Source organism: Homo sapiens, chromosome 3 (genome assembly GCF_000001405.40).
Source record: "Homo sapiens chromosome 3, GRCh38.p14 Primary Assembly".
NCBI lineage: Eukaryota > Metazoa > Chordata > Mammalia > Primates > Hominidae > Homo > Homo sapiens.
Window position 1 is genome coordinate 33,970,072 of NC_000003.12, and position 10,744 is coordinate 33,980,815.

Here is a 10,744-nt window from a genome sequence, read left to right on the forward strand (position 1 = left end):
CAGCCATATGAGATGTCAGTCAGCCCCTACTGGGAGGTGCCTCCCAGTTAGGCTACTCAGGGATCAGGGACCCACTTGAGGAGGCAGTCTGTCTATTCTCAGATCTCAAACTCCATGCTGGGGGAACCACTACTCTCTTCAAAGCTGTCAGACAGGGATGTTTAAATCTGCAGAAGTTTCTGCTGCCTTTTGTTCAGCTATGCCCTGCCCCCAGAGGTGGAGTCTATAGAGGCAGGCAGGCAGGCCTCCTTGAGCTGCGCTAGGCTCCACCCAGTTTGAGCTTGCTCCCCCAGCCTCGCTGCTGCCTTGCAGTTCGATCTCAGACTGCTGTGCTAGCAGTGAGCGAGGCTCTGTGGGCATGGGACCCTCCAAACCAGGCATGGGATATAATCTCCTGGTGTGCCGTTTGCTAAGACCATTGGAAAAGTGCAGTGTTAGGGTGGGAGTGTCCCCATTTTCCAGGTATTGTCTGTCATGGCTTCCGTTGGCTAGGAAAGGGAATTCCTCGACCCCTTGCACTTCCCTGGTGAGGTGATGCCCTGCCCTGCTTCGGCTCATGCTCTGTGGGATGTACCCACTGTCTGACAAGCTCCATTGAGATGAACCTGGTACTTCATTTGGAAATGCAGAAATCACCTGTCTTCTGTGTCACTCATGCTGGGAGCTGTAGACTGGAGCTGTTCCTATTCAGCCATCTTGGAACCTCATCAGTAGGAGAGTCTTCAGCTCAGTGTCTCGGTTTGAGTTCTTGTTATAATAGCACTAGGCATAATACTGGGCATACAGTGGATGCTCAGGAGATGACTATGGAATAAGCAAGTAGGATAGGGTTTGGAGAGGAGAATGAGGCTTGGGCTGAAAGCTGAACTGAGTTCTAGTTTTGGATCTCTTGCTAAGCATGTCATCACTTGAGTCTCTTGGACTTGACTTTTTTTGTGTGTGTGAAATTGGAGAGTCAGAGGTAGGTTGGGGATCCCAGGCATTCCATGGTTCTGGGATAGTGACATGGTTTGAAGGAATTAGAACTGTAGTCACCAGATGTGGCAATATTTAGAGAGATGCTTTAGCTCAAGACCAGCTCTATCCTGATAGGATGGCAGAAACTGGAGATAGAAGCCCCTTGTGACCTGGCGCAGGTTGAAGACCCTCTCTGGACCACACTTGAGCCATCTGTAGAATAAAGAGGAAGTGGCTGCTTTTCTAGCTCTAGGTCCTCTGCTTCTAAATACTTTTTCCATCAGCAGCTGTACTAAGTGAGGATCCCATGATATTACTTGGACAATGCCAAACATTGGTGATAGAACACATTCAGCATGTCCTGGAGATGCTGGGGACTCTTGTTTCCTGAAGGAGACTGTCAAGAGGGTAAGATAGAGCCTCTTTTCAGTCATGAGCTCTCTGCTGTAGTATTCTCTTGCAAGTTTGAGAATGATCTAAATCTGGGCATTCAGAGGGCTGTTGATTCTGAATCTTTTAGAGGGGAGGCAATTGTTAAGATAATGGAGTACAACTCCTTCATTCTTCTCACGAAGAACCTGGAACTCTGGAGAGGTGAACTACATAACAATTTAGCAAATTAATGAGTAGGCTCAGACCAGCACTTTGGTGACTTCTCATGGAAAGTTTCTTTCTATACTAAGCCTACTCCTGCCTTCAAGGAGTTCTATAGATTTCCATTGTCAGTATCAAGTAGGTGGATGTCTAGGGTGTAGCACAGTGCCTGCCACATATAGCAGGTGCTCAATAAATACTGGCCAAAGAAACAATGTGCACAACTGTTACAGGCTCTTCCAATAGTAAAGACTAGGATTTGTCATGTGGATTCCAAGTTAGTAGTCATTCTTCCACGCCAAATTCCTCATTCCCTACTGCCTTCACTTTTGAACCTTTTTGTAAATACTCAGAGATATTCTTTCCTTTTATTTACTTTATAGATTGTATAAAAGACCATATCCCAGTCCACTTCTACTGTAATAATAAGACCTGGACACATGGATATTATGGCTTATGTGCAAAAACTGGGTCACTTTCAAACTAATTTGTAGAACTTGTCCAAGGGAAGGATGTGTAAAGTCTTGATTTAGGATTTAAACAAAGATGTGCAAATAAAAAAACAGATGTCTCTTTATTGATTTAGGAAATTGTAATGTCAAAAGTTATTTATAAAAGTCTCACTCCTTTTGTATTCCTAAAAACTCATTTTCACTGCTATTAATTTGCTACTTTGTGTCCTCAATAAGGGTATTACAAATTTAATTGATTTTGAACTCACTGATTTTGAACTTAATGAAATTGTTTATTTCAGTAACTTCACTTTCTTTTATTTTCTTCACCATTAAACTTGGTGATATGAATCCCAAACTGATTTACCTAACAGCCAAAGGGGTGAAAAATAAGAGATCTCAATTTTTTGGAAGTTTTCCAATTTTATATCCTAGATGACATACTGGTTCAAGAAGTCATTTTGGCTCCTTTTCTTGAAAGATGTTTTCTTTAAGTCTCCATATTTGTCTTGCTGTTTAAGAAGAAATTGATTCTCTACTCTGCTTAAAGAACATTTGATGACTTCCCATTTTCCTGAAGAGAAGCTTTAAATGTTTAACATGGCATTCTTAGCTCTTGATGATCTGGCTGCCAATGTACCTCATTGTCTATATTCCTTCTTGTTACTCCTGCCACACATTCTTTGCTCCTTGTCCCTCAAAAACAGTAAAAATTTTAGTAACAACAGTGTATTAATTATCTCTTGCTGCATAACAAGTTATCCCAAGCATTAGGTATTATTTCTTGGATTCTGTGGGTCGGGAATCTGAGCACAGCTTAGCTGGGTTCTCTGCTTCAGGGTTCCTTCTCTTACAAGACTGCAGTCAAGGTGTCAGCGGAGGCTGCAGTCATCTCAAGGTTCACCTGGAGCAGAAACTGTTTCCAAGCTCACTCATGTGGCCGCTGGTAGAATTCGGTTCCTCCTGGACTGTTAAGCTGAGGGCCTCAGCTCCTTGTTGGCTGTTGGCCAGAAGTCACCTTCAATTTCTTGCCAAGTGGCCCTCTCATCAAATCACGCATGAAGGGGAGTGGGTGGAGAGAGAGAGGGAGAGAGACAGCAAGAGCGAGTGGGACAGAGAGAGAGAGAGAGAGAGAGAGAGAGAGAGAGAGAGAGAGAGAGAGAGAGAGAGAATCAGCAAGTTAGAAAGCTGTCTTTTGTAACCTAATCAGGGAAGTGACATCTCATTACCTTTGCTGCTTCTAGTGGTTAGAAGCAACCAATGGAATGACCAGCACATTGTAAAGGGGAGAGGCTCTATAAAGGCGTGAATACCAAGAGTTGGAGATAATTTAGAGTCATGTCAGAAGCTGCCAACCACAAACAATATATACGGTTAACAATTACTGAGTATGTACTATGTAACAGACACACTGTTAAGACCTTTCCCATATAGTATTTCATGCAGTCCTTACAAAAATTCTAGTCAATGGATAATGTTTTCATTTCAATTTCATCTCAAAAGGGTTAAATAATTAGCAAGTGGCAGAGGCAGGATTTGAGCCCTGGTTAGGGCAAGAGACAACGTCCTTATTTCTCCATCCTCAGAGCTCAGCACTGACTCTGTGACACAAGAACCTAGTAGGTATTGAGTAACTGCAAAATAAATGAATGAACGAATGAATGCAGACTTGGGTCCCACTGCAACTACTTTTGCCCAAACTCTGGTCCTAGGCCTTGACCCAGTCTAAATAATACATAAATTACCATGTGGTTAAATAGGGCTGAATTATATTTAATCAGTGAGGAGAACTCTGAATTTTAGGTGCAGGACTCAAGAGAGGAGATGTGGTTTTGTAATTTTTTCTCATGTATAGTCACCTGTCACTTAATGATGGAGATAAGTTCCAAGCAATGCAACATCAGGCAAATTTGTCATTCTGCAAACATCATAAGGTATACTTACACAAAGCTAGATGGTGTAGCCTACTACACACCTAGGCTATATGGTGTAGCCAGTTGCTCCTAGGCTACAAGCCTATACAGCATATTATTGTACTAAATACTCTAGGTGATTATAAAACAGTGGTAAGTATTTGTGTGTCTAAGAATATCCAAACACAGGATGGGCACAGTGGCTCACCCCTGTAATCTCAGAACTTTGGGAGGCACAGGCAGGTGGGTTATGAGGTCAGGACATCGAGACCACCCTGGCTAACATGGTGAAACCCTGTCTCTACTAAAAATACAAAAAATTAGCCGGGCGTGGTGGCACACGCCTGTAGTCCCAGCTACTCAGGAGGCTGAGTCAGGAGAATTGCTTGAACCAGGGAGGCGGAGGTTGCAGTGAGCCGAGATCGTGCCACTGCACTCCAACCTGGGTGACAGAGTGAGACTCTTCTCAAAAAAAAAAAAAAAAAAAAAGAATATCTAAACACAGAAAAGGTACAGTAAAAATATGGTATAAAAGAAAAAACGGGCCGGGCGCGGTGGCTCACGCCTGTAATCCCAGCACTTTGGGAGGCCGAGGTGGGTGGATCATGAGGTCAGGAGATCGAGACCATCCTGGCTAACAAGGTGAAACCCCGTCTCTACTAAAAATACAAAAAATTAGCCGGGCGCGGTGGCGGGCGCCTGTAGTCCCAGCTACTCGGGAGGCTGAGGCAGGAGAATGGCGTGAACCCGGGAAGCGGAGCTTGCAGTGAGCCGAGATTGCGCCACTGCAGTCCGCAGTCCGACCTGGGGGACAGAGCGAGACTCCGTCTCAAAAAAAAAAAAAAAAAAAAAAAAAAAAAGAAAAAACGGTACATCTGTATGGGTCACTTTGCCATGAATGGAACTTGTAGGACTGGAAGTTGCTCTGGGTGAGTCAGGGAGTGAGTGGTGGATGAAGGTGACCCTAAGGCATTACTGTACACTACTTAGACCTTATAAACACTCTACACTTAAGCTACACTAAATTTATTAAAATTTTTTTCTTCAATAATAAATTAATCTTTGCTTACTATAACTTGTTTACTTTATAAGCTTTTTACTTTTTTAAACTTTTAAACTGTTTTGTAATAACAGTTTACAATATAAACACATTGTACAGCTATACAAAAATTTTCTGTATATTCTTGTTCTATAAGCTTTTTCCTATTTAAAAACTTTTTTATTTTTTACATTTTAAGCTTTTTTTGCTAAAAACTAAGACACAAACACACATTAGCTTAGGCCTCCACAGGGTCAGGTCATCAATATCACTGTATCCCACTTCCTAATCTTGTTCCAATGGAAGGTCTTCAGTGGCAATAACATGCAAGGATCTGTCATCTCCTGTGATAACAATCCTGCTTCTGGAATAACTCCAGAATGACCTGCCTTGTTTCACAGAGGTTGTTTTACGGTTAACTTAAAAAAAAATAAGGATAAGGAGTATACTCTAAATAAGAAGCATAGTATAGTAAACACATAAACCAGTAACACAGTTATTTATTATCATCATCAAGTATTATGTACTGTACATAATTGCATGTGCTATACTTTTATACAACCGGCAACACAATTAAGTTCGTTGACACCAGCATCACCACAAACAGGTCAGCAGTGTGTTGTGCTACAATGTCGCAATGCCTATGAATCACTAGGCAATAGGAATTTTTTAGCTCAATTATAAATCTTGTGGACCACCGTTGTATATGCAGTCTGTTGTTCACTGAAATGTCATTATGCAGGACATGACTGTAGTAAAAAGCAGACTTCATTACTACTGAGAACTTCAAAAGGATATCCAAGAAATTAGAATGCCAACACCCAGGATGAGAGATTATGGAGTTGTAAAGGAAACTGCTACAAACTTGAGAGGAATATTACAATAGTGTTAGGAAGGTGGAATTAGTAGCTAGCAGCTGGCATGCTTTTAAATCTGACTTCTCTTTCTTAAAGACAAATAAGATTGTCTTAGTCTGTTTATGCTGCTATAACAAAATACCACAAACTGTGTATCTTATAAACAACAGATATTGGTTTCTTACAGTTCTGGAGGCTGGGAAGTCCAAGATCAAGGCAGATTTGGTGTCTGGTGAGGACCTGCTTTCAGACTCACAGACTGTGCCTTCTGACTGTGTTCTTACACGACGAAAGGGGCAAGGGATCTCTTTCAGACCTCTTTTGTAAGGACAGCAATCCCAATCATGAAGGCTGTGCTCCCATGACCTAATCACCTCCCCAAGGCCTCACATCTAAAACCATCAACTTATGAATTTTGTGGGGGACATCAGCATTCAGACCATAGTAGGGATTAAAGGCAGCAAACAAAGAACTAGCTGAACTGGAGACAAAGAAATTATTCTGTGTCTGTGGAAGAATGGATTAAGAAAGAGTGGGCAAGCAAGGAGTAGGGACAAAGAGAGGAGGGTTGTTTTTGCATCTGGCCCTTAACTCAACAACTTTCTTTTGTATCTCTCCACTTTCAGGATTCACTGAGGTTGTTGGGCTCCTGTGGGAATAGGTTAGGTGGACGCAATTATCATGGCTGATAAATAAATGGCATTATAGTGTCACAATGAAACTCAGCACTTGAGAATTCACAACACTGGGCAGTTTATGAAGTACTTTCTCATGGGGTCTTATTTGTGCCTTCGATGACCTCTGAAGTGATATTGTCAAGAAGACTGGACAGACCTGTCATTTGACCAGCACCCCTTCTCCCTGTGAGGAGAAGGGGCATGGCAATCAAATCGTCATAAGCTGGCCCAGTGAGAATGGACCAAAGTCCCAGTGTTTAATGACATTAGGCAAATAGTTGGGCAGCACACTGGGCCGGTGAACTCTAAGGGCTGGGGCCTCCCTTTCTTGGGATATGCACTGTCAACTGTTGCCTCTGAGTCTCTCTATTATGGGGTCAAAGTAGAGCTCTCTCCCCCTTCTGATGGACACTTTTTTTGTTGTTGTTGATGTTGTTGCTGTCCTGATTAATGCCATGGATACAAATAAAGCCAGTTCATTGCTCTTGTTGCAGATGGCACGAAAAACATTTTGTCTCAGATGCCATTTGCACAAGTGACCTCATCCATTATGTATTGGTTTTATAATTTAGCCCAGCCTTTCAGATGCCCATGGAATGTCACCTACTCATGGGCATTATTATTCACAGCTTATAAAAGGAAAACAAGGCTTAGAGAAGTTGGTATGGGAGATTTTTCAGACATTTTTTTTCAGAGGTTCATGAAAGCCATAAATAAAGCCTCTCAGAAAATGGGAGAATCTAATGCAGGTTTATGACTCCAAACTCTGAGTTCTATGCACCCTCATGCCTTCTCCACGTTGGTTCCCTGCAGAGTTAGAATGAGGAGATTCCCATTGTACTGCCTCTTTTATTGCACAATCATATCTGGATGTGCTATATTGTTGTGTGAGGTTGGATGATGAGGAACAGGGAAGCTTGAGAGAAGTCTGGATAGAGAAGAGTAAACTTGAAGAAAGTAGGAACCAAACAAAGCAGGACTATGGAGATGCGTACTTTCTCCCATCTTGGGGAAAAATGAGTGATTTAGTGAAATAGAGGACTTGAGAGATAGGTGCAAAATGGGTGATGCCATGACCAGGACCTGCAGTCTGACTTCCAGGCTGGGCTAGCCTAATCTTTGTCCATCATTTTTTCTTTCACTGGAGCACCTCTCCTGCTAATACATGGCTGTGTCACTGGGTGACAGAAGCTGTTGTCTTGCCATCAAGAACACTTGGAGGTGATGGGTAGGAGGCAGCTGCTGTCCCCAGAGGTTTGGAATGCAGCAGGAACAGCTCCCACAGTGGTGTACACCCTGATTCATTTTCAATCTAAAATAATTAATGTTTGATCAACAGATTAAAAATGTAATTAGGAATGGGTGCATGTTCATTCAGATAGAATATCCTCGGGCACACTATAGTCTCTTTTCCTCTCCACTCATGCCCACCTACAGGTGGTGTTTTCAGACTCCCAAACCTTTTCCTTTTTCTTTTTTTTTTTGAGATGGAGTCTCGCTTTGTCTCCCAGGCTGAAGTGCAGTGGTGTCATCTTGGCTCACTGCAACCTCAGCCTCCTGGGTTCAAGTGATTCCCCTGCCTCAGGCTCCCAAGTAGCTAAGATTACAGGTGCATGCACCATGCCTGGCTAATTTTTGTATTTTCAGTAGAGACGGGGTTTCACCTGGTTGACCAGGCTGGTCTTGAACTTCTGAGCTCAAGTGGTCTGCCTGCCTCGGCCTCCCAAAGTGCTGGGATTATAGGGGTGAGCCACCGTGCCTGGCCTCCTTTTTCTGTTGGAGTGTTTATCTTTGTCTGCCTTGGCCCTGGCAAGATTTTTTTTCTCCCATTATCATGATAGCAAGTGAATTAGTGAGTGTTTTAGATCACATCTTACCTCCAAGAAGAAAGGGGAGATAAAAATAATCTCATATTTGCTCTAGGTTTGGTCAGCTCATTCCTGCTATGCAAGCATGTTAAAAGCAACCACTATAAAAAGAAGAAATTAACTCTGCAAAGCCAAAACCCAGAATTATAAGAGATGCTCAGCAAATCTTCACTATGGTCAGGCTCTTGGGCTGGGCAGGTACCACCCGGGAATGTAAGTGTGAAGTCAAGCATCCAAACACTGTGCCTGGGCCTAAGCAGACTCCATATGGGACTAGCTCCTTTCCTCACTCCCTGGTTCTGATGGAAAGTCATGGATGCTTGGCCTAGCTGTGATGATATGATGTGGAAATTTCAGTGTCCTGAGCAGAGGTGCTGGGAAAGGAATGGTAAAAGTTCCCTGGGGCAGTGTGGGCAATAGAGCAATTACCATGCTTCCCACTGGACTTCACAAGAGCCTCAGAATCCAGATGATCCTCTTCTGCCCTTCTCTAGAGGATAAGCCTTGCTGCTTTCCCAGGGAACCATAATTCTTCAGCACTTGATGGTGAAATTGTCTGTTTTTCAGCATCTCAGTTCCACAATTGCACCTCATTTACAGTATTGCTTAAGTGTCCCTGAGGGCCCCTGCAGAGCCACCAGAGAGTTTGTCCACAAAGAGAAAACTCTTCAAGCCTTTACCTCCCAGGATCTTACTGCATCTGCTGGCCTATCTGGTAGAAAAGCTGTAGGATTTTGACTTACATTTTTTTGGGGGGAGGGAGTAGAGTCACTAGGGGGTTGGCTTGAGCCAGGATGAGCGGAGAACCCATGGAAACAACTTAAGCCAACTTGATTTCTTTCAGAATCCCATGTGCTCACTCAAAGATTGCATGGGATTTACTGTTAAGGAACCAGGTGAGTCAAAATCTTTCTAAAGAGATTCTGAAAAATATCTCTTATTATTTCTTATTAAATTTAAATAACTCTTTTTGGGATTATAAATAAACTTTTCATTACTCACTTGAAGGTAATAAATCCTGTGATTATTCTGCTCTGAAGTATTATGTCCCAGCTTGCCTTTTCCTGCCATCCAACTTGTGCCTAGCTTTACCTCACCCACCACCAGTTGGTATGTGTTTAAGAAATGAAAAAGAATTTTAATATATGCCAAGGTAAAATATAATTAGTCTTGTAAATCTTCTGTTTAAAAGGGCATGAACAAATTCCCCAGACTAAATAGAAATTACTTCTGGATTGTCTTCTATTTTCAATTATTTCTATTATCTGTCCCTTTTTTTTATCATGGGTAATCAAAAGTTGATCATATTTTCAAGAAACTGAGCCAAAACAAAGCAGAGTAAACAAAAAACCATAATCAGGGGACAAGGTAGGGGGGAAAATGTGAATGAGCCATATAGATGCTTTGTGCATCAACTGTGTGTTTATCTATCCATCCATTCATCCATCCATCCATCCACTATTTAGTTTGTCTGTACATGTGAAGTATGATTCTTAGAGCTGGATATCAGGGTAGAAATCCCAAAGGCTTTAAAGTTACAATGGCCTGGGTTATAATTTTGACTTTAAATTTATGCTAGTTGTGAGTTCTACAAAACTCACGATTTCTGCAGCCTCAGGTTGCTCATCTCTACAATGGGTTTCCAAACCCCTCCTTTACAGGGGTTTGCTATTATGTACCTGGAACAATACCTTGTATATACGAGTTTCATAAATATTGTCTCTCTTGTTTCACGTTTCCTTATCCTTCTCCTGATTAACTGATAGGCACCTTGAAGAAAAGTCACATTAAAATGGAGCTTACCCAGACCTTCCTGTCTTGTCGTTTTTGTTAAGAGAAGTAATTGAAGAAAATAACAGTGAACAATGTGGCACATAAGACGGCCCAATGCACTCTAAAAGTTAATGTTTTCCAAGGATGTCTCATACCCCAGAAGATGAGACTCAAGCTTGCAGACCTGGAGCATCCTGGGATCTTGGCCAAGCCAAACATCCATGAGATGCCAACCATGCATTCCGTTATACTGGACTGGTCTTGTGGAGCTGCTGCCCAGCATCTCCCTTACGCTAGATGGAGCTACCATTCCATTATATGTTAAATTCCAGAGTTCAACAGGTGTGATTTCCTATTCCCATTCTATTAGTCCCTGTTAGAATCTGTTAGAACTAATCTCAACATGCCATCCAGCTGAGTTTGCCTCAGTGACTGTCAAGTGCCTGAGTCTCTCTGGCATTCTATCCTCAACTGTACTTTTATACTCTGTGGTTCTATTCCTCCCTTATTCCGGGATTTCTTAACCCAAGGTTTCCAGCACTATTGGCATTTTGGGCTGGTTAACTCTTTGTTATGGGAGGCTGTCCTGTGCATGTTTAGTAGCATCCCTGACT

General features: G+C 42.3%; 1 annotated feature.

The window, feature by feature from the left end:
* Positions 5,232-5,432: a silencer, noted in NCBI's record as "peak4603 fragment used in MPRA reporter construct". NCBI's record gives its function as "represses an SCP1 promoter by STARR-seq MPRAs in K562 erythroleukemia cells {active_cell/tissue: K562}" and the evidence as "EXISTENCE:reporter gene assay evidence [ECO:0000049][PMID:32103011]".